Source organism: Homo sapiens, chromosome X (assembly GCF_000001405.40).
Source record: "Homo sapiens chromosome X, GRCh38.p14 Primary Assembly".
In the NCBI taxonomy this organism is placed as follows: domain Eukaryota; kingdom Metazoa; phylum Chordata; class Mammalia; order Primates; family Hominidae; genus Homo; species Homo sapiens.
Window position 1 is genome coordinate 120,096,130 of NC_000023.11, and position 24,332 is coordinate 120,120,461.

A 24,332-nucleotide genomic window follows, 5' to 3' on the forward strand; every position below is an offset into this window, starting at 1 on the left:
TTGGCAGAGACACAAGTGGCCATGGGCAGACAGAAGTGGCTGGCCCTCGAGAGGAACACACTGGTGGAAGAGCACACCGGCAGACACCAGCAGACACCAGCAGATGCCAGCAGGCCGACCAGCTGAACAACACTGACTTTGGCTGTGGTGGTCAGAGGAGAGCCTGGCCGCTGGGTGGCCTGACTCCAGGGGAAAATCACCTTCCCACTCCATCCCCCTTCTGGCCTCTCCATCCACCTCGCTGAGAGCTACCACCACTCAATAAAAAACCTTGCACCCATCCTCCAAGCCCACATGTGATCTGATTTTTCTGGTACACCAAGGCAAGAACCTGCGATACAGAAAGCCCTCTGCCCTTGCGATAAGGCAGGGGGTCTAATTGAGTTGATAAACACAAGCTGCCTACAGATGGCTAAACTGAAAGAGCACACGGTAACACATGCCTACCCTAGACACTGCAGTGGGATTGGAGTCACATGTCACTATACTGATCTCTTCTTTGCAATAATTAAGTTGTTTTTCTGTTACAGCTTTTTTTTTTTTCCTTTTTTTTTTTTTTTTTTAAGATGGAGTCTCACTCTGTCACCCAGGCTGGAGTGTAGTGGTGTGATCTTGGCTCACTGCAACCTCTACCTCCCGGGTTCTAGTGATTCTCGTGCCTCAGACTCCCCAGTAGCTGGGATTACAGGCATATATTTAGTGGAGACAGGGTTTCACCATGTTGGCCAGGCTAGTCTCCAACTCCTGATCTCAGGTGATCTGCACACCTCAGCCTCCCAAAGTGCTGGGATTACAGGTGTGAGCTACTGCACTTGGCCTATGTTATAGCTTCAGGGACATCCAGCTTCCATTCATTACCGGTCTTCCCAATCTGTGACCCTGCAGCATGGACTAGCACATGACTGCCACTTAGAGCACCCATGCAGGACTCCGGAGGGGAGCCAATAGGGAGTAGGGGTTGTGCAGGAATGTATTATGGTCTGTGTTCATTCGACTCTACATGAAGGCCCTTCCCAATTATATCAATAACTTTTTAAGAGATTTCAACACTAAAAAAAGCTTTTAATCACTAATGTGTTTTTGGAAGGACCTGAATTATGTACTTTTAAAATTAATTTTTCTCGTGAATAAACTAGTTATTATTTTTAGTTAATACAGATTTGTACGGATTTGATACCCAACTGAGGAACTGGCTTTGTGGGTCCCACTAACAACTGGCTTGACAAGCTTTATGATGATGAATTGTTCCTATTTTTATAGGAAGGAGTTTGATATTAGGCCACTGTGCATATGGAAAATTTCCCAAACTCCTGGATTAGTCAATTGGAATTTTAAATTGGAAAATGCTCTCATAAATAGACGATTGTTTCTTGTTTTATCTCACTGGGAACAACTTGACAGTTGTGTCTTCTAACAGGTAGAAACGTGGTTGCAGCTTGTGGGGGTGGGGGTATTCTGATGACCAAAAAGCACAGGGTGAAATGGAGTGATGTGACCATTCCAGGGTGCTTTCTAGCTAAAGATCCTGTGTGTGTGCATGCATGCCTACATGCACGTGTGTCTGCAAAAGAGAGAAGGAACAGCCAAAAATATAAGCTCATGGTTTGGAAGGAGAATTCAAGTGCTCTGCTGACCACCAAGTTCCTAGGGAAACAGGTTGTGAGAGGGATTGAGAACAAGGAAGCCTCAGAATTTGGTCAACAACCCAGATCTCTCAGCACAGCCAATGGCTCATTGTGCCATATTTTAAATGCAATTGAACTGTCAATTCACATCCATGCATGAAAGACAAGAAGCATTATTATTCCTGTATTATCATACAGGAAGCATTATTAAATATAAAATGGTGTTTGGCTTTCTTTGGTCTAAAAACTAATAAAAGTAGGTGCTAAAGGAAATTTTTCAGTAGAAAGGCACCAAGGACTGCTGATGATCCCACATTTAAAACAAAAGGTCAATTTCTTAAAAATTGCATACTTGGTTTATCTTCCACTTTCCTTTCCCTTAAAACTAAAAGTCTTTTAGCACATGTACCACCCCTAGAATTTCTGGTAAACCAGCACTAGCCTGAGGATCATGTTCTCATCAAAGGGTAAAAAGAAGGGAAACTCGAGCCAGCCTAGGAAGGACCCTTCCTTGTGCTGCTAACCACCAAGACTGCTGTTCTTACAGCAGAAAAGGGATGGACTCATCATACCCGAGTCAAAGCACCACCCCCTCCAGAGTCATGGGCCATAGTCCCAGGGGAAAACCCTACCAAACTCAAGCTAAGAAAAATTTAATTCTTTCATCTATTCTATTACTTTCTTCTTTCCTCGCTCTATTACTGACCATGTAGTTATTAACATAACCAAGTCAATTTCGCCTCAAACTATTGCATTTAATGCTTGCTTTGTTATACCCTGCAGGGACTTGCTAAGCCAAAAACAGCTCTCTACTTCAAAAAAGTACCTCTGTCCCTCCTGACTCTCCTCAGACTGGGCATTAGTAAATTAGGACCATCTAATCCAGGGAGATTTCAATAAAGACCCCAGTGTCAACCAGGAGTCTTGCCCCCCGATGTGGAGCTTTTATGCCGTAGTTGGTCCAAAGTTCTGTGGACCACTAAAAAGCAAGAATGAACTACCCCAACCAGTTTTTGTAATTTCCTAAAACCATACATTCATTTTACTAAAGAATCATAGAAGTTAAAGACTTAAAACAAACTTTGGCAATTAAGGCAGTATACCAAGATGCAAATGCCTGGTTGGAATGGATCAAATATTCTTTCCGCACATTAAACAAAAGCAATCGTTATGCTTGTGCACATGGCAGGCCAGAGGCCCAGATTGTCCCCTTTTCACTAAGGTAGTCATCCAGTTGACCAGGTGTGGGCTGCATGATAGCTCTTTTTCAGGATTCTACAGCCTGGAGTAATAAGTCGTGCCAAGCTCTCTCCGCTATGTCCTGAAGTCTGGCACCCTGCGAGTCAGCCCCTGAGGGCCATCCAGCTTCCATCTCCCAACACTAAGTTCACTTCATGTCTCTCACAACAGGGAGAAAACTTAGCATTCCTTGGAGACCTGAAGGGATGCAGTGAGCTTAAGAATTTTCAAGAGCTTATCAATCAGTCAGCCCTTGTTCATCCCCGAGCGGATGTGTGTGGTATTGTGGTGGACCTTTACTGGGCACTCTGCCGAATAACTGGAGTGGCATTTGTGCTTTAGTCCAATTGGCTATCCCTTTCACCCTGGCATTTCATCAACCAGAGGGAGGAAAAATAAGACATCATAAAGCGAGAGAAGCCTCTTATGGGTCTTTCGACTCTCATGTCTATTTAGATGCAATTGGAGTCCCACGGGAAATACCAGATCAATTTAAAGCCCAAAATAAAATAGCTGCAGGATTTAAGTCAATATTTTGGTAGGTGACAGTTAATAAAAATGTAAAGTAAATAAACTACACCTATTACAACCAACAGCAACTAGCTTTTCAGGAGTTAAAAGAAAAACCTCATGTTGGCTGCAGCCCTGGGGCTACCTGACCTGACCAAACCTTTTACACTGAATGGCAGTTAGAGATTTAACCCAGACTGTGGGGCCCTGGCTGAGGCCAGTGGCCTACCTCTCTAAATAACTAGATGGGGTTTCTAAGGGTTGGCCCCCATGTTTGAGGGCCTTGGCAGGAACAGCCCTACTAGCACAAGAAGTGGATAAGCTAACTCTTGGGCAAAACCTAAACATAAAGGCCCCCCATGCTGTGGTGACTTTAATAAATACCAAAGGACGTCATTAGCTAACAAATACTAGACTAACTAGATACCAAAGCTTGCTCTGTGAAAAATCCCCACATAACCATTGAAGTTTGCAACACCCTAAACCCCGCCACCTTGCTCCTGGTATCAGAGAGCCCAGTTAAACTTAACTGTGTAGAGGTGTTGGACTCAGTTTATTCTAGCAGGCCCAACCTCCAAGACCATCCTTAAACATCAGTAGACTGGGAGCTGTACGTGCATGGGAGCAGCTTCGCCAACCCCTGCAAAGTGACTCTGAAGAAGATGACAAGCCCTGCCCCAGTCACACCTGGAAGCTGACTGGTCCTTGCATGGTCAAAGCATGAGGAAACTCATCGCAGGACTCATTTCCCTTAAAATTTGGACTTGTACAGTAAGAACTTCAACTGACCTTCCTCAGACTGAGGACTGTTCCCAGTATATACATCAAGTCACTGAGGTAGGACAAAAGATTGCTACAGTCCTATTATTTTATGGTTATTATAAGTGTACTGGGACTCTAAAAGGAACTTGTTTGTATAATGCTATTCTATACAAGGTATGTAGACCAGGAAGTGACCAGCCTGATGTGTGCTATAACCCATCCTTTTTCCTACTGCCCATAAAAACAGGCGAACTTCTAGGCTTCCCAGTCTATGCTTCCCAAGAAAAGAGAAGCATAGCTATAGGCGACTGGAAAGATGACAAGTGGCCCCCTGAAAGAATCATACAGTACTATGGGCCTACCACTTAGGCACAAGATGGCTCATGGGGATACCCAACCCCCATTTATACTATCAACCGAATCATACGGTTATAAGCTGTCTGAGAAGTAATCACTAATAAAACTGGCAGAGCTTTAACTGTTTTAGCCCAGCAAAAACCCAGATGAGAAATGCTATCTATCAAAATAGACTAGTCCTAGACTACTTGCTAGCAGCTGAAGGAGGAGTCTGTGGAAAATTTTACCTAACCAATTGCTGTTTGCACATAAATGATCAAGGGCAAGTAGTTGAAGACAAAAAGATATGACAAAACTGGCACATGTGCCCATGCAAGTATGGCATGGACTTAATCCTGGAGCCATGTTTGGAAAATGGTTTCTAGGGCTAAGAGCATTTAAAACTCTTATAATAAAAATTATAATAGCAATAAGAACCTGCTTACTACTCCCTTGTTTGCTACCTGTACTCCTACAAGTAATAAAAAGCTTCACCGCTACCTTAGTTCACCAAAATGCTTCAGCACAGGTGTACTATATAAATCACTATTGATCTGTCTTGCAAGAAGACATGGGTAGTGAGGATGAAAGTGAGAACTCCCACTAATGAGTGAGGTTCTCAAAGGGGGGAATAAGGGAGGAGACCACCCCTCATATTGTCATATGCCCAATTTCTGCCTCAAAGAAAAAGTAGGAGTTAAAAGACAGAAGTGAAATCAGTAGTCAGACAGCCCAGCACTGCATTCCAGGCCTGGTAGTTAAAGATCGACCCCTGACCTAATTGGTTATGTTGTCTATAGATTCCAGACATTGTATGGAAAAACATTGTGAAAATCCCTGTCCTGTTCTGTTCTGTTCTGATTACTGGTGCATGCAGCCCCCAGTCACATATCCCCTGCTTGCTCAATCGAACACGACCCTCTCATGTGGACCCCCTTAGAGTTGTAAGCCCTTAAAAGGGACAGGAATTGCTCACTCAGGGAGTTCGGTTTTTGAGACATGAGTCTGCCGACACTGCTGGCCAAATAAAGCTCCTTCCGTCTTTAACCTGGTGCCTGAGGAGTTTTGTCTGTGGATCGTCCTGCTACATTTCATGTCATTAGGACCTTCTGAGACTGTGTCATGGGTGCATCCTTAACTTTGGTAAAATAAACTTTCTAAATTGATTGGAACCTGTCTCAGATACTTTTGGTTCACAAGTTGGTAACCAGGAATGGCTTCTGAGTGGAGGTTCCCCTAACCTTTGACAAATCTCCTATTGGTGCTTGGTACCAGTTTGAGCTATCTTTATTGTTCAAACCAATAGGACAATTTGTGAAGTCCTGGGAGCTCCCCCTTCAGAGAATCCATGATCTCCTCAAATTTGGCTGAGATCTAAGGTTTATTTTGTTGTACAACTCCTTTTCTGGAGTTTTACACAAGGAAGGTGAATTGTCCTGCTTCATGTTGATGGAGAGCAGGCAACTCCTTTTTGGAGTGTGAGCTCACTTCCAACAGGGAAGGTGAGTTGAAGTTGTTTCCTGCTTCTAGGATGGTAGAGAGCCATCTTCAGACTGGGCTCCATTCCTAGGTAAGTAACTGAATTGGGATTTTGTCTTGGAAATTCTCCTTAATGACTAAAGTTAAAATTAACAACCAGCTGCTCTTAATTTCTACTTACCTTTAGAGTGCTCAGTAATTGTATAAGTTGTGCAATTTTTTGTTTGTTTTGCTTAACTATTTTTGTTTGTTTCTATTTTTGTTCTTCTTTTGGTCTTTTTTCCATTGGATTTGATAAACTCTATCAGACTTAGTCAAATCTGAAGGAAATTTCCAAATTATGGGGAACAATGCCACTGAATTAGCTAAATTCCCACAGCTGGGGAAAAAAAGGAAAAAGAAAAAATGACCAGCAAAGGGGAAAAAGAGGAAAGATTTTAACTACTGAGGGGTTTTACTTACATAACAAGGCCACTTTTTGCTAGCCAAGCCAAACTGAAAGAGCAACAGCTGTTGTCCCATGGTGCAGTTCAGTAGCTATGGTTCTGCCCTTTTTTCCCACCACAACACCCTGGGTTTGGTTCCTAAATCAAGTCCTTTCAGGTTTCATATTTATGTTACTGTTGAAGTATGAGCAATTTGTCTCAGTTAAAATATGGCAATGAGATTTAAAAGGATTTTTCTTTGAGATGGAGTCTTGCTCTGTTGCCCAGGCTGGAGTACAGTGGCACATTCTCGGCTTACTGCAACCTGCCTGCTGGGTTCATGCAATTCTCCTGCCTTAGCCTCCTGAGTAGCTGGGATTACAGGCATGTGCCACCACACCAGGCTAATTTTTGTATTTTTAGTAGAGACAGGGTTTCACCATGTTGGCCAGGCTGGTCTCAAACTCCTGACCTCAAGTGACCCACCCACCTTGGCCTCCCAGTGCTGGGATTACAGGTGTGAGGCACCACACCCGGCTTAAAAGGATTTTTTTTTTTGGAAGAGCTCAATGGCTATGAATCTGCTTAATTAAAAAGCTAATATTGAAGATTTTGGGTGTGTGTGTGTGTGTGTGTGTGTGTGTGTGTATGTGTGTGTGTGTGTCCACTTAAAAGGCCTTTATGGTTTTTTTTCCTAGAACTTCATTTTTTTTGTAGAAAAAGTTTTGTTTTTCTCAGTTGACTGAATTCTGTTTTCTCCATTTTTCTTCCTGTCTCTCCTTCCTTTTGCCCCTCTCTGCTGCATGAGGGACCTAAAATGGTTTTTAACAGCCTGAGATTCCTTAAAGAAAACAGAGAAGGTGCCAGACTCCATTTTGGGGAGAAACCTCTGTTTTTCCGTATGGAACCTTAAGAGTATAAACAGACAAGTTCTTCTCAAATCTTAAATAGCTTGCTTTTGTATTGTTACCTGATTTTGTTTTGACTAAAGTAGTTATTACAACAGTGGCTATTCTTGGGTGTTTAAAATCAGAAAGAGTATAGTTTAGACACTAAGAGAAATGTCTTCACAAAGAAAGTGCATTATAAAAGCATCACATGTTCTAGGCTCATGAAAATTTCTCTTTTGGAGATTCAGAATTCAGTGTGGGCTCTGCCTCAGACCTCAGAGATCCAGTTAAATAGTAAGAGACTAAATTTAAAACTACCTATATTGATAAAATTGGTCCCCTTATACAATCCTATGATAGATTTTTACAATTTTATGTTTGATTTGGCATCTGTTTTTAATCTCCCTCTAGAATACCAGACTCTTTTTCTCTTTACTTTGGGCAGTATGGCCATTTTCACAATATTGATTCTTCCTATCCATGAGCATGGAATGTTTTTTTTCCATTTGTTTGTGTCTTCTCTTATTTCCTTGAACAGTGGTTTGTAGTTCTCGTTGAAGAGGTCCTTCACATCCCTTGTTAGCTGTATTCCTAGGTATTTTGTTGGGAAAACTGGCTAGCCATATGCAGAAAACTGAAACTGCTTCCTTACACTTTATACAAAAATTAACTCAAGATGGATCAAAGACTTAAATGTAAGACTGAAAACCATAAAAACCCTAGAAGAAAACCTAGGAAATACCATTCAGGACATAGGCATGGGCAAAGACTTCATGTCTAAAACACCAAAAGTAATGGCAACAAAAGCCAAAATTGACAAATGGGATCTAATTAAACTAAAGAGCTTCTGCACAGCAAAAGAAACTATCATCAGAGTGAACAGGCAACCTACAGAACGGGAGAAAATTTTTGCAATCTACCCATCTGACCAAGGGCTAATATCCAGAATCTACAAGGAACTTAAATAAATTTACAAGAAAAAAAAAACAACCCCATCAAAAAGTGGTTGAAGGATATGAGCAGACACTTCTCAAAAGAAGACATTTATGCAGCCAACAAACATATGACAAAAAGCTCATCATCACTTGCCATTAGAGAAATGCAAATCAAAGCCACAATGAGATAACTTCTCATGCCAGTTAGAATGGCGATCATTAAAAAGTCAGGAAACAACAGATGCTGGAGAGGATGTGGAGAAATAGGAATGCTTTTACACTGTTGGTGGGAGTGTAAATTAGTTCAACCATAGTGGAAGACAGTGTGGTGATTCCTTAAGGATCTAGAACCAGAAATACCATTTGACCTAGCAATCCCAATACTGGGTATATACCCAAAGGATTATAAATCATTCTACTATAAAGACACATGCACAGTGTTTATTTCAGCACTACTCACAATAGTAAAGACTTGGAACCAACCCAAATGCCCCTCGATGATAGACTGGATAAAGAAAATGTGGCACATGTACAGTATGGAATACTATGCAGCCATAAAAAAGAATGAGTTCATGTCCTTTGCAGGGACATGGATGAAGCTGGAAACCATCATTCTCAGCAAACTAACACAGGAACAGAAAACCAAACACTGTATGTTCTCACTTATAGATGGGAGTTGAACATTGAGAACACATGGACACAGGGAGGGAACATCACACACCAGGGCTTGTCGGGGGTGGAGAGCTAGGGGAGGGATAGCCTTAGGAGAAATACCTAATGTAGATGATGAGTTGATGGGTGCAGCACACCACCATGGCACGTGTGTACCTATGTAACAAACCTGCACGTTCTGCACATGTATCCTAGAACTTAAAGTATAATAAAAATTGGGCAAATGAAATGAACAGACGCTTCTCAAAAGAAGACATTTGTGTGGCCAACGAACATATAAAAAAAGCTCAACATCACTGATCGTTAGAGAAATACAAATCAAAACCACAGTGAGATGCCATCTCACACTGGTCAGAAGAGCAATTATTAAAAAAATCAAGAAACAACAGATGCTGTCAAGGCTGCAGAGAAATAGGAATGCTTTTCCACTGTTAGTGGGAATGTAAATTAGTTTAACCATTGTGAAAGACAATGTGGTGATTCCTCTAAGACCTAGAACCAGAAATAACATTTGACCCAGCAATCCCATTACTGGGTATATACCCAGAGGAGTATAAATCATTTTATCATAAAGATACATGCACATGTATTTCATTGCAGCACTATTCACAATAGCAAAGACATGGAATCAACCCAAATGCCCATCAATGATAGTCTGGATAAAGAAAATGTAGTACATATACACCATGGAGTACTATGCAGCCATAAAAAGGAACATTATCCTGAGCAAACTAATGCAGGAACAGAAAACTAAATACTGCATGTTCTCACTTATAAATGGGAGCTAAATGATGAGAACACATGGACACATGGAGGGGAACACACTCACTAGGGCCTACTGAAGGGTAGGAGGAGGGAGAGGATAATGAAAAATAACTAATGGGTACTAGGCTTAATACCTGGGTGATGAAATAATCTGTACAACAACCCCCCATGACACAAGTTCACCCATGTAACAAACCTGCATTTGTGCCCCTGAACTTAAAATGAGAGTTAACTAAAAAAATAAAAGAAAGAGAAGTGTTCTTTGTGGCATTAATTTTAAAGGATCTCTCTCTTTGAAAACCTAGACTGCAGGTAAATTATCATGTACCACAATGTTTTGCTTATCTTTTCTGCCTCATACCACCGTCCTGCCTGAATCCTGCCTTAATTTCTGGCACCTGGAAGTAGAGACATGTTAAAAAACAGTGTATATGACTCTTGAAGATGCTACCCACTTCTGGAAAATGTATTCACTTTTATTTTGCTTCTTCCAGGAAATCTGAACATGAAAAAAGAATATTCTCTGCTAGTGTGTGTCAGACTGGATGTGAGGATTGACTGAGGATTTCTGCTGAGCACTCTCTGGCCTTCAGTTTCAGCTGTAGCCAGTGCAGAGAAGGTGTCAGTCCTGGGTCTGATGGTGTCTTGGAGCTTATTTGTACAGACCCATTAATTCTGAGGCTGCTTAAAGCATTGAGAAATTTACTGTTTTAGATGGAAAGTGATTAACACTGGGAAATAATTTTTGGTTTCAAAATCATCCTGTGAGAGTGGTGAGGTACATTCTTCTTGGATTTTCCACACTCCCAACAGGGCCTGGGGCTTCTGTGTAGCAATAACAACCCTCTCTCTGTGGAAGCCACACATTATGCATACTACTTTGCTGAAATTTGACAATCACAAGTGGAAAAAGGAAGAAGTAAGGAATTAAAATTAGCAGGCACCATGGCATGCTTTTCCAAGGAAACAGAGCCTTCCTTTACACTGGGAACATATGAGCACTATTAAACTGGTCTTTGATTAAGACCCATGAGAGGAAATTGTGGGGTAACTCTGATACCTTATCTATAGTCACTGCAATCACTTTATAGTATGACTGTGGGGCCCACAATTAATCAGTTTTAACATAAAACTCCACTGAAGGAGACTCATATTGCTAAAGGTTACTCAAAAACAAAGGTTAAACTGAGAAGAACTTTATGCTTTAAAAAATGGGCTGGGCCTCTTCATCTTCCTAATTTATTTTTGTTTTTGTTTTCTTTCTATCCTGGAAGTTTTGCACAAAGAAGATCGTGTTGATGAAAAGAGTAAAACTCTGTAAAATATTTGAAAAGATTTATTCTGAGCCAAATATGAGTGACCAATGGCCTGTGAAAACTCTCAGGAGATCCTGAGAATGTGTGCCCCAGGTGGTTGGGTTACAGCTTGGTTTTACACATTTTAAGAAGACATAAGACATCAATCAATACATGTAAGATGTACAACATTGGTTCTGTCCAGAAAGGTGGGTAAACTCGAAGTGGGAGCTTCTAGGTCATATGTAGATTCAAAGATTTTCTGATTGGCAATTGGTTGAAAAGTTACATTATTGTCTAAAGACCAAGAATCAATACAAGAGAATGTCTGTGTTAAGATAAGGGGTTGTGGAGACCAAGGTTCCCATTATGCAGAGGAAGCCTCCAGGTAGCTGGCTTCAGAGAGAATAGATTGTAAATGTTTCTTACTTGAGTTGATTCTCTCCTGGATCAAGAAAAAGGCCTGCACAAGAAAGGGGATTCTCTTGAGAATGTACATTTCCCCCCACAAGAGACAGCTTTGCAGGACTGTTTCAAAATATGACAAAGAAACACATAGGGTAAAATACTTTTGATTTCTTTCAAGCCTTGCTATCTGTCATGTGATGCTATACTAGAGTTAGGCTGGAAATTGGTGTCTTATTGCCACAGAGTATGTTAGTCTTAAGTTCTGTTCTAACGTTAAGACTGGTCAGCTGTACACGAATTCCAAAAGGGAGTAGGGAATAATAAGGCATGTCTGACGCCTACTTCCTGTCATGACCTGAATAAGTTTTTCAGGTTAACTTTGGAATGCCCTTGGCTGAGAGGAGGGATCCATTCAGATAGTTGTGGGGCTTCGAATTTTATTTTTGGTTTACAATAGCATGAACAAAGCAGAGGTCTGACAGCTTCGTTCCAGTGAGTGGATATTCTGGAACATTGCTCAGGGTACCATCTTCTTACTCTTCTTTGAGCAGCACTAAATGAAAAGGTCCCCTTTCACCTTGTAATCAGCAGGAAGTGGGATTCTCTCGAAGATGTTGAAGATGACAAAATAAACTTAAAGGATTGTTCATCTGCTTTTGAGCTAGGGAAGGTATAACAATATGCTTTCTGGGCCGGGGGGAGGGGAGAAAATGGAGAAGAGCCTCTTTTTGGGCTTAATGAAATTTTTGCTTGTGTTTCTTTTGAAGCAGCAGGATCTTTGGGGCAGAATAGCTCCTATTCCCCTGTGTCCCCCACAAAAAGGGAGGGCAGTGAACAGAATTTGGAGCATAGTGGAGTGGATCAACGTTCAGCTGCCACCTTCCCATAAATCCTATGAGTAGCCACCTAGGAAGTTTCTCTTTAGAGTCCAGAATTTGGACTGAACTAGTCAGCATAACTGGAACTCAGCTTTATCTGGGAATACACTGTTGTCTCACCAGGAATCTGCTTCACCCCTTCTTGCACATATTTGTGGTCCCTAAAGGGGCAAGGTGGTGAGGATGGCATAATGGCAGGGGTAGGGAGGGGGAGTGGAGAAGGATGTATGGGTCAGTGCAAACTCACAATGACGCTTGGTAAACTTCTGTGATGTGCAGGGCCTATTGTTGATGGCAAGCCAGGGATGTCATTTCATGAAAGATCTCCTTGTCATTTTGTTTAAATGGCTTTCTTTTTTTTTTTTTTTGATATGGAGTCTCACTCTGTTGCCCAGGCTGAAGTGCAGTGGTGCGATCTTGGCTCACTGCAACCTCTGCCTCCTGGGTTCAGGCCTCCCGCATAGCTGGGATTACTGGTGCCTGCCACCACATCCAGCTAATTTTTTTGTATTTTTGATAGAGACAGGGTTTCACCATCTTGGCTAGGCTGGTCTTGAACTCCTGACCTCCTGATCCACCCGCCTCAGCCTCCTAAAGTGTTAAGATTACAGGTGTGAGCCACTGCACCTGGCCTTAAATGGCTTTTTAAAAACAATTTGCACCTATACCCTACTAACCACAATTGGCACACAAAAACAAATATATTGAGAATTTGCCTCTTTATTGATAACATAAGTGCAGAGGAGATAAGGGTAGCCTGAGCGGCATGGGCAGCCCAGGTGTCAGTGGCACCAGAAAAACCCATCTCCAAACTAGCTCCTGAAGAAGGATGGCATTCTAGGGCTAGTCCACGACGATGTAGACACAGTCGTCTGGGTCAGCACGTAGTTCATTGGCGAGCATTAATTCTCTCTGATGTCGCCTACATCTGGCCCTTTTATTCTTAAACCAAACCTACAATCAGAGGGAAAAGGGGATTGGTTTAGTATATTGAACAGTTAATGTCGTAATAGAAAAACACAGGATGCAACTTTATATGCTATTGAGATTTTAAACTGCATCAGGAAAAGCTATTTCCTCATTGCTAAAATACCTTAGGAAAGTTAACAACATAGCCCGTGGCCCTTCAGCTCACCCTTAGTGAGGACCAGCTTTGTGCCAAGTCCTGGAATAAGCTTATTACTTTGTATCTCTCTTCTCCATTTTATTTATTTATTTATTTATTATTTATTTATTTATTTATTTATTTATTTTTTGAGACAGGGTCTTGCTGTTTTGCCTGGGCTGGGATCCAGTGGTGCAATCATAGCTCACTGTGACATTGAACTTCTGGGCTCAAGAGATCCTCCCACCTCACCCTCCCAAGTAGCTGGTACTAGAGGTACATGCCACTATGCCCAGCTGTTTTAATTTTTCTGTAGAGACAGGGTCTCGCTATGTTGCCCAGGCTGGACTTGAGCTCCTGGCCTCAAGTGATCTTCCCACCTTGGTGTCCCAAAGTGTTGGGATTACAAGCGTGAGCCACTGTGCCCAGCCCCAATTTTAATATTCTTTAATGGTTACTTCCAGATATTGGATGCAGTTCTGGCTTATGAGTTGTTCCAGGTCCTTGCTGTTTGTTAATTCAATGCCTGGCAACAGGGTAACAAAAGGTGTGCATCTGACAAGTGACCATCAACTATCCAGCTGCCTCCTGCTCCCTCCTCACTAGGGAGAGTTTCATCTTGTTTGTGGGAGAAGTTCGGCATGGTAAAAAGTGGGCCTAATTTCAAATCATTTTCAGGGGATTGTTTAAAAAATCCATCTTTAGTATGTAGTAAATAATAGGAAAGAGCGCACTGGAATTTTAGACAGGTTTCCTTCCAGGATGTCTAAGGGATCATTCGTCCTCTGGCAAGAGAGGCCTGGACACTGCCTTGATATTTTAGCCTGTAGCATTAAGGAAAGTTGAAACCAGCTCGACCCAAATTAACTGAAACTCTCAAAAATCTTTGCTCACCCAATAGTTTAGGGGAAAGAGGCATACCATTGTCACCAATGCCAAATCTTCGTTCTCCAATCTGCTGCACTCTCCAAACCTTCCTGGGCTCAGGACAAGGTCAGCTCACTCTGTTTTACCTACAGCTCCAGGATCCTGGACTGGAGGTGCTGTAGCCCAGTAAGGCAGGGCCCCCTAGGCCCTGCTACTCAACCAGGAGATCTGAATCCCACCCCCTATTCCTAAGGCAGAAAGGTGGAACCAGCATTTTAGGAAGATGGTTAACATCAATGTGGGGGAAGGGTCACAAATATGGCTCCTCCCTAAATATCTGCCAACAATTAAAAAGCAAACAGACAAAAAAAGCCTGTCAGTTAGATGTCACTATCCTCTCAGCAACCTAGTTAACGGAGTTTATATTGTATTTATTACTTTCAAAAGTTCTCAAACTGCAAATTGTAAGCTGCACAAAGGGCCTTCTTTCTCTACCTGACACGTCTTTTTCACTTTCCCAGTTAAGGATTTGCAGTATTTCTGCTGCATGAGGCCAGTCTCTAAAAGTCTAAAAGAGCTCATTTTGGGAGCTTTCAAGTGTACCACTGGTCAAATCTCTATAAACATAACCAAAGTGTACAGTGGGTTAACTGGTATGTTCTGATACTAGGTCTGCATTCCCAATACTGGTTTCATAAACCAGTTGCATTACATCTGCAAAAGCTATGGGGAAACTATGTATTACTTTCTTGGGGGAAATTTATGCTGTATAGTTTGGAGATACATGAGAGCATTCTGTCTCTTCCCTTATTTGTATCTTGTGGCTCATATTCTTTTCAGAGCACTAAGGAGAGAACATTATGTCGACTCAGGGAGGAGAAAAACAACTCACCAAGCCTTGTTTTTCTTTTCCTCTGAGTTTGCCTTACCAGCTGGAGAAAAGTGATCCCAACCTCTTTTCAACTTCTCCAACCCGAACCAGGTGTGATTGTGAGTCCACCCTTTGCCATTAGGATGCCAGCACTCAGTAACCCGCTTTGTTAGTTTGCTTTTTTGGACAACCCACTACCAGATCGGCAGTGCATTTCCCTCACTACACTCACACATGCACTCTGCATAAAAGCTAATAATAAGGTCATCCTGATTTTTGTTTTTTCTTTTTTGGGAAAACATCACTTTGATACTATGTATGGTTTTCTTTGGTCTTAAGTGGTCATCACTTGAATCCTATGACCTACTAATTAGTTAACACTGCTTAAAGGAATGAAAAGTATTTGAAATTAACATGGGTGTGAATCTACCCTAAAATGAGGGCCACCTCTCCAAACAAATTCCAGAAAACCCACCTCTTCAAAAAAGTACCACCAAAAAGAAATATAAATCCTTAGATGGATAGAAATTCCTCAAGAGAACAGTCACTTAAACATTTAGTAGTTTCATAATGTTGAATTTGTATAGTACATGCATAGTATGTGCAAAGCCTATTTTGACCATATTTCTCTCTAACCTTTTCACCCTTCTTGGTCAACTGAAATGAATTCAATATTACTCATTTTGTTTGCTTCATTCTTTAGACAATTTTCCAAAGCATACAAACCTTACAAACCTTCCTCAATTTCAAAATAATGTGACTATTTTAGCAATATTTTCAGGTTGACACATCAAAGTATTTTAGAAAATTAAAACTTAGGGCTGCCACTCTCTATACTGCTTTACCAATAACTTAAAAACAAACAAAGAAGGACCAGGGGCTTGGACATATAAGCTATCTTCCCATCAGTCTCAGCTTAACTAAGTATACATTATTTAGTCATGTAATGTGTTCTGTGGGTGAATTACTCCCTCATCCCAATATTTATAAATTCACTCATTTAGCTAAGTGTTTATGCCTGGCCTTAAATAATTTAGTACACTTGAACCCTCTTATAACCCTGCTCCTCCCTGCATTAACTTGAATACTTCTAAGGTAAGACTGAACCCCACCATGACTCTACACAGAAATTGTTCCTAAAAGATACCAGCGTTAGAAGGAGTTGAATTTTATTTATTGGATACATACATATATGTATATATGTATGATATATATACATATATGTATTATATATAATACACATATATTATATATAATACACATATGTATAATATATAATACACATATATGTGTTATATATAATACACATATATGTATTATATATAATACACATATGTATTATATATAATACATATATGTATAATATATGTGTTTCATATGTATGTATTTGTTTAATTTTGTATACAGATTAGGAGAAGCAGTTTTTGTTTTGTTTTTCCTTTAGGAAATCATATTCCCTAATTGGAATGGGAAAGAGGAAAGAACCATAAGCTGGAGCTTACTTCCTTTTCTACCGACAAGGAACCCAAACTTCAAAACTTATTTGTCAACATAAAAAAGACAATAATAAAAACAACAACTTTAGAACGTTCAGGACAAAGCCTTCAAAGCCTTCAATGCCCTGAAGCAGGTTTTAGAATGGCTGTCCTCTCAAATTGCTTTTTCAAGTGTACTGACCCGCACTTTGTCTTCAGTCACACCTAAGTTTTCGGCAAGTTCCCTTCTGTGGAGAGAAGATCACACATGGTTAGTATTCAAAGTTGTGGATGAAATGAAATATATAGTATGTACTATTTACTTCATGCTTGTTTTACAATTTATAATCTCCCCTCACACCTCCCCCAAGTATATACTTTTCTCTAATTCCCAGCTCCATGGTTGCTTTAGAAATGGTTTACCCTCATCACGAAATTTAAGGTGACGTTAACAACTCAGTAATCAAGAGAAATACCTTTTTTTTTTTAAATTGAGACAAGGTCTCACTCTGTCTCCTAGGCTGGAGTGCAGTGGTGTGATTTCAGCTCACTGCAACCTCCGCCTCCGGGGTTCAGACGATTCTCGTGCCTCAGCCTCCCGAGTAGCTGCGATTACAGGCACATACCACCATGCCCAGTTGATTTTTGTATTTTTAGTAGAGATGGGGTTTTGCCATGTTGGCCAGGCTGGTCTCGAACTCCTGCCCGTCTCAGCCTCCCAAAGTGCTGGGATTTGGGGCATGAACCACCGCACCCGGCCAAGATGAATAATTTAATGCATTATTATTATTTTTATTATTATTATTTGAGACAGGGTCTCACTGTCGTCTATGTTGGAGTGCAGTGGCAGGATCACTGCTCACTGCAGCCTGCATGTCCTGGGCTCGAACGATCCTCCTGCCTCAGCCTTCCAAGTGGCTGGGAGTACAGGCACACACCACCACACCCACATGGCTAATTTTTTAAGTTTTATTTAGAGACGGGGTTTTGCCATGTTGCCCAGGCTGTTCTTGAACTCCTGGACTCAAGCAACCTTCCCACCTTGGCCTCCCAAAAGCGCTGGAATTACAGGCCTGAGCCACCGTGCCTGGCCCTAATGCACTATTTTAATAAATAACAATTAATGCAAAAATCTGTGATGAGGACCAGGCACTGTGGCTCAGGCCTGTAATCCCAGCAGTTTGGGAGGCCGAGGCAGGCAAATTGCTTGAGCCCAGGAGTTTGAGACTAGCCTGGGCAACACGGCGAAACCTTATCTCTACACACAAAAAAAATACAAAAATTAGCCAGGTGTGGTGGCCTGTGCCTGCAGTCCCAGCTACTCAGGGGGCTGACACGGGAGGATGGCTTGAACCCAGGAAGCAAATGTTGCAGAGAGCTGAAATCGCACTGCTGCACTCCAACCTGGGCCACAGAGAGAGACTCTGTCTCAAGACAAAACAAAAAAACCAGAAAAACAAAAAACCAACCAAACAAACAAAAAAAAACTATGATGAACAAATTATCAAAATTTTAAATAAAGGAAGGATCTAGCACTGTAGTTGCATGACAGTACCTCATTCTCCTTACCCCAATTTCAATAAAATTTTATTTATAAAAACAGACCACAGCTGGGTGTGGTGGCTCACTCCTATAATCCCAGCAACTCAGGAGGCTGAGATGGGAGGATTGCTTGGGTGACAGATCCCCCACTCAACAAAAACAACAACAACAACAAAAACAGGCCATCATCACAGGTAATAAAAGAAAAAATACATAACTTGGACTATATCAAAATTTAAAACTTCTGTATATCAAAAGATGCAATGAACAGAGTAAAAAGACAACTCATAGAATGGAAGGAAATATTTGCAAATCACATCTGATAAGGGGTTAATATCCAGAGTGTATAAAGAACTCCTACAACCCAATAACCAAAAAAAAAGAAAGAAAGAAAGAAAAAGCCACTCAGATTTTAAAATGGGTAAAGGACTTAAAGAGATATTTCTCCAAAGAAGATATACAAGTGGCCACTAAGCACATGAAAGGATGCACAACATCACTAATCATTAGGGAAAAGCAAATCGAAACTACAATGAAGTATCACCTCACACCCATTAGGATGGCTATGTAAAAAACCCCAGAAAATAACAAGTGTTGGTGAGGATGTGGAGAAACTGGAACCCCCATGTACTGTTGGTGTGCACCTGTATCTATAAAATGGAATATTATTTAGCCTTAAAAAGGAAGGAAATTCTAATATATGCTGCGATATGGATGAACCTTGAAGACCTTATGCTAAGTGAAATAAGTCAGTGACAAAAATGCAAATACTGTATGATTCTACTTACATGAGATACCTAGAGTAGTCAAAATCATAGAGACATAAAATAGTAGAATGGTGGTTGCCAAGGGCTGGGGAAAGGGGGAAAAGGGGAGTTGCTTAACTGGTATAGAGACTTAGCTTGGCAAGATGAGAAGAATTCTAGAGATCTATTGCACAACAATGTGAACATACTTAACACAACTGAACTCTATACTTAAAAAGTGGTTTGGACGGTAAATTTCATATTTCCGTGTATTTTACCACATCTTTATAAAAGGGAGGCACGGACTAGTTTCCAGGTTTCATTCACATAAACATTGCAATAAAACATTTACCTTGATGCCCAGGAGGTAAATATCCCCCTCCACACCAGCACAAAGGCAGGCAAGGACCCCCAGTGGCTTTTTCCTCATGATTGGGTGGGGCAAGGGAGAGAAAAAGATGCCTCGAAACGAACTTGGAGATCTCGTGGCTCCTGGAGCAGGCCACTTACCTTGTGGGCACATCAGGGTATTGAGTGTGTCGGAAAACACTTTCCAGCTCCTCCACCTGCAACAGCGTGAACTTCGTGCGCCGAGTTCGTGGCTGCATGTTCTCGGGCTGCGGACCCTCCATGGCCGCCTGGGCCGGCTCCTCCGGCGGGGGCTGCGGCTGCTGCCGAGGCTCCTGGTTTCCACCGCCGCCCTCGGGGATCATGCCGCCATCGCGGTTCATGCCGTTCTCGTGGTTCACACCGCCCTCAGGGTTCATATTACCCATGAGGCCTGGAGCTCCTTGGCCAACATGGCCTTCTGCGCTTGATGCTGCCCCCAGCTGAGGTGTGGGGCTTATTTTTACCTGGTATACACTCAGGCAGTAGAACACGGTGTCGTGGACGAGCGAACGCGCCATGGCTGGAGCGCTGCGCCCCTGCACAAACTCCGTGGCGTCTGCAGCTGGAGTGGGGGTTAGAGGGTGGAGCTAGTTCCTGTTCTCATGCTTGGTATTGGTTACAGTTGCAATGAGTGGGACTTGCTTATGCGCACAAGCAAGAGAGGGAATGGAGAGGAGTGGGGGGATGGGAAGTTGGGGGGTGCGGGTGGGGAGTGGGGGTGTTGCAGGTGGGAGTGGGGGGTTGTGAGTGTGGGGTGGGGTGCAGGTGGGGATGGGGGTGTGGGTGGAGGGTGGGGGGTGCACAGTGAGGGTGGGGGTTGCGGGTGAGGGTAGGGGTTGTGGGTTGGGGTGGGGGTTGCCGGTGGGGGTACATGGTGGGGGTGGGGGTAGCGGGTGGAGATGGGAGGTGTGGGTGGAGGGTGCGTGGTGGGGGTAGGGGTTGTGGGTGGGGGTGAGGGGTGTGGTATGGGTCGTGGGTGGGGGTGGCAGTTGAGGGTGGAGTGGGGTGGCCAAAACACAGGGGCAGTGTGGAGAAGAAAAGGGCCAATAGGAGGCATATATGTATGCAACATGGGGCCCCAGCTTGCAGCTTTGCTGACTACACCCTACTCGGGCCTAGTTATTACCCTGAGGAAAGCTGATTTGGGGGCTCAGAGGGGAGGTGAGATCTCACGGTGACCATAGGACGCCTTGAGTAAAAGTTTGGAGAATATCTCATGGCCTGACCCTCCATATTTGGCAGCATGCACAGGGCGCGGGCTATTAATTAAGCAGAAATGATTGACTGGGGGCTGCTTGTTCAGAGTTCCAGCAAAGGCACTGAAAGCAGAGCTGCCATGCTCTCTTCAGTGCTGGGATCGGGATCTTGGAGATGGGCATGCAGAGCATTCTGGGTGGTAAGATGTGCTCTGCAAGAAATCTAACGCACCCTTTGAGAAAGTCAACACAGAATAAACACGAGGCTGAATCTGTTAGCCTGAGACTGAATATCTTTGGCTATGCAAGAGAAACCTGTACTCATGGCAAAATGGAGTGCTATAAGGACAAGCAAAAAATAAATAAATAAATAAAATCGGGGATGGTATAGGAAGAGCACCAGTAAGGGCATACCTGCCAAAAATCTCCAATCTTGGGATGGAGATTTGGGATTTAAGGATATGCAGCTTACTGGATGTGGGGCCACTTCTGCTCCACAGAGCCTTGTAACTACACAGCCTTCCTACCACTGACCCCAATAAGCCCAATTACGAAGAAAAACCCTGAAGAGCCTGGTGCAGTGGCTCCTGCACTAGTCCCAGCTACTCAGGAGGCTGAGATGGGAGGATCACTTGAACCCAGGAGTTTGAGGCTGTGGTGAGCTAGAATCACATGGCAGCACTCCAGCCTGGGCAACAGACAGAGGCCCCTTTTCTTTAAAATAAATAATAAAATAAGAAATAAAATGAAAATGAAAGAAAGGAAAGCGCTAAGAGAGTCTGTCATGAGGAAGGGCATGGAGATGTCTTTTGAGGGTGGACAACTCATGAATCCTTAATTTTTCTAGAGATTGTGTGTGTGCTCTTAAGTGATGTTATATACTTTATTTTGTTTTTTAAAAATATTTTTAAAAATTTTATTTTTAAATGTTCTTTTAAAAACTTTCTGTATCTATTTATATCTATTGGTTATTTGAGGTTTTTTTGGCAGCATATATAAATATGCAGACCCTTTGAGTCTGTAGCCTACCAAGAGAGATAGCTCTCGTCTTCATGGTGATTCTGAGCATGGAAAGGCCCTTGCACTTGGCAGCATGACAAGGACTAAGCCACTCGCTCCATTAATTGACTGCCATCCACTGGGCTAAGTGAGATCCTTGCGTTCTATCCCTAGTGAGAGAAGAGAGAGGAAGAAGAAGAAAAATAGAAAGATAATAAGAAAATAGAAAAAGAAATGAATAAATGTACATTGTGGGGAGCAGGAAAGGACTACCAGTAATGGGAGGCATCAGCTAGGAGCACAGATCCGAAGCATGACTCACTGTGTGTCCTAGGACACTGGATGAATCTATCTGGTTCTCAGCTTCCTCACCTATAAAATGGAGATAACAACAGTGTCTCGATCATAGGGTTTTCATGAGAGTTCAATGAGGCAAGGCATACATGTAACTGAACACAGCTCCGACTGCTCACCAGTTGCAAAGTCCAGTGAACAAGAACGACGTCTGGTAGAAAGAAAGTGGCTTTATTCCAGAGCTAGTTGAGGGGAAGTAGTACAGGCTGCCTTGAGGAAGCCACTAAAGCCTTTGGGGCAGAAGGCAGGAGCTTTGAAAGTGGGGCTTGGCGTGAATGGCATGCAGGGGAGAGGGCGATGAAGTGCAGAGTCTATGTGACTTGCTTCGGATGTCTTATCTATCAGGTGGTCTGGCTGGCACCGTCACGGGCAGAGCTAGGTTGTAAGTTGAGGCAATCTCAATTTGCCTCCTGGTAGGAGAGAGTTCTGGAGGTTCCTGGTTTGCTTTAAGGTTCGGTCTCTGTAACTTCTAAGTAAACATGTAGTTAGATAAGCTTGCTGTGTAGGGAGTGTCTGGTGGAGAGAAGGTAAAGTTTATAATTGCATTCCCAAAGAGCTAAGTAGGAGGTGTGAGGAAAGGAAAAAGGAAAAAATAATTCATTTGATTCTTTAAAAAAGAGGTACTTGGTTATATATAGACTGTTTTATTCTTTTTCTTCAACTCCAAATAGTCAATTTATCAGCAAATCCTGTTGACTCCGCCTCAGAAACACATTCCCAAACCTTTAATTTTTTTTCTCTGACATGCTTAAGATAATCTCTATCATCTTAAACCTGGGATATTGCATTAGTGTCCTGTCTCCCTGCTTTCACCTTTTTTCTCCTATAAACATTCTCCACCCAGCAGCCAGAGTGATCTGATGATGAAAATGTGAATTACACCATGGTGCCCCTGCTTATCACCTTCATACTGCTTGTTCTTGGGTTGGGTCCAGAGTAGGTACTTAATACATGGTAATGCTTATTACATTATTATTTGCTCTGGTATCTAGGAATAAGATATATTAGGCCAAGGAAGAAAATCTGTCTGCTGAGTGAAAGACACACTCTCCTGGCACATTTCCTGGCCCAGGGCTCATACATGCAGCAACCAACATAGGCTTATTGATGGAAGCACATATAGGTACATAGAAACATGGTACGTGTATTGTTTTCACAAGAAGATGCTCTATCTTTATTACATGCTGCCAGAGGAGAACAATCACTCTCTCTCCCTTGTGAATAAAAAAATATGAAAGTGAGTCAAGTAGGAAATGTGAGGCTGCATGGTCATTTGTGAAATTGTATAATTAAGCACCTCAATTAATCCTCAAAACACCTCTATGAATTAGGTATGATTGTTATCTCCATTTAAAAAATTATTAAACCAAGGCAAAATGAGAATAAACTGCTCACCAGATTAGCCAGCTAGCAAGTAGTGAGTGAAGCCATGATTCAGATACCTAGTCTGGTTCTAGGGTCACTGCTCACATAAATCTGTTACATCAGGCCGTGATTTGTGGCTATTTTTGCTTAGGATGAGGGTTCCATTAGGTACTTAAGGTTTTCAAGAGTGAATCAAAAATTAAAAATTAAATTATATTTAAAGTAAAACATTTAAGTAAGTACTAGCTTTTCTGGTGCCCACATAGGGCAACAACACTCACCTAAGATGCCTATGAGTGACTGAAGGTGAGAAAACACCGGGGTACACTGTGGAAATCTGAGATGTGGAAGAAATCAAGCTGTCACAGACGTCCCAGCTAGTCTACTGCACTCCATGATTAAAACTCTTACATGTCTCTCATGCAGCATTTGATCCAAGGCTGAAAATTGATCATGAACTGATTAGTTAAGAGAAGGAGAGGGGGCCAGACTCCAACAAAAGTCAGATTTTGGTTGAAGTCAGAGAGAGGTTGTGAGATTGCCATCCCTTGACATCTTTTTAAAAGTGAATTGTTTAATCACTTTTTTTTAAGCTGATTTCTTAGCCATCTTGCAGAAATATGAGGCAGGGGCACTTATCCATTAGGTACAGTAGGTAAGGTAACTAAGCCCAATGACACCCTTAGCAGCCCATGAAAATGGTTTAGTTTCTTTCATAAAATGGTGCTGAAGATAATGATAGTTGCAAAGGAAAAAATACGGTAGACCAATATCATAGTATGTTACCAAGCATAGGGCCTATTATTGGAAGCTATTTCCAGTGCTCAGGATATTAACATCTCCTGGAGCGTCTGCAAAACACATCTTGAAGGCAGAACCATAGTCCTCAATTTGGCCTGCCTCTTTTATTTGACAATAAAGTTTTATTTATTTCTGAGCATAAGATTGGGATTTTATTTCTAGAAAAAGGGAGAAAAGGTGGAAGGAGGAGGAGGCAGGGAAAAGGTGGAAACTTGCCCAGGCCCATAGCAGGAGCCCAACACAGGGAACACTTAAGCTTGTGTAGAGTACTTGTAACCAGAAGCCCGGAGGTGGAGCACAGCAGAGGATGCAATGTGCCACTGTCGCGGCCAGAGCCCATGCAGTGTAAACATTAACATTCTTGGATGCACTAAGCACTGGGCTGCGGTCTACACTTGCATT

General features: G+C 42.2%; 1 protein-coding gene and 2 long non-coding RNA genes across 4 annotated transcripts in view; 1 reads left to right on the forward strand and 2 right to left on the reverse strand.

Annotated features, from left to right (window-relative positions):
- RHOXF1-AS1 (RHOXF1 antisense RNA 1) overlaps nt 1-24,332 on the forward strand; it is a 110,620-nt gene that overhangs the window by 59,894 nt on the left and 26,394 nt on the right. The window lies entirely within an intron of this gene.
- Nucleotides 12,922-24,309, reverse strand: RHOXF1 (Rhox homeobox family member 1). 2 transcript variants are annotated; one of them, XM_011531281.3, is made up of 4 exons: nt 21,441-24,309; nt 19,336-19,777; nt 16,740-16,785; nt 12,922-13,173 (listed from the first exon to the last, which is right to left on the reverse strand). In XM_011531281.3, the coding sequence occupies exons 1-4, from the start codon at nt 21,478-21,480 to the stop codon at nt 13,063-13,065; spliced, it is 639 nt and encodes a 212-aa protein (XP_011529583.1). In that variant the 5' UTR covers nt 21,481-24,309; the 3' UTR covers nt 12,922-13,062. The 2 variants fall into 2 exon arrangements, with proteins under 2 accessions (XP_011529583.1, NP_644811.1); NM_139282.3 differs by lacking the exon at nt 21,441-24,309 and having other exon boundaries at nt 19,336-19,784.
- On the reverse strand, nt 21,513-23,571 carry LINC01402 (long intergenic non-protein coding RNA 1402). The gene is made up of 3 exons (NR_126557.1): nt 23,411-23,571; nt 21,733-21,782; nt 21,513-21,580 (listed from the first exon to the last, which is right to left on the reverse strand). It is a non-coding gene; the product is annotated as a long intergenic non-protein coding RNA 1402 (long non-coding RNA).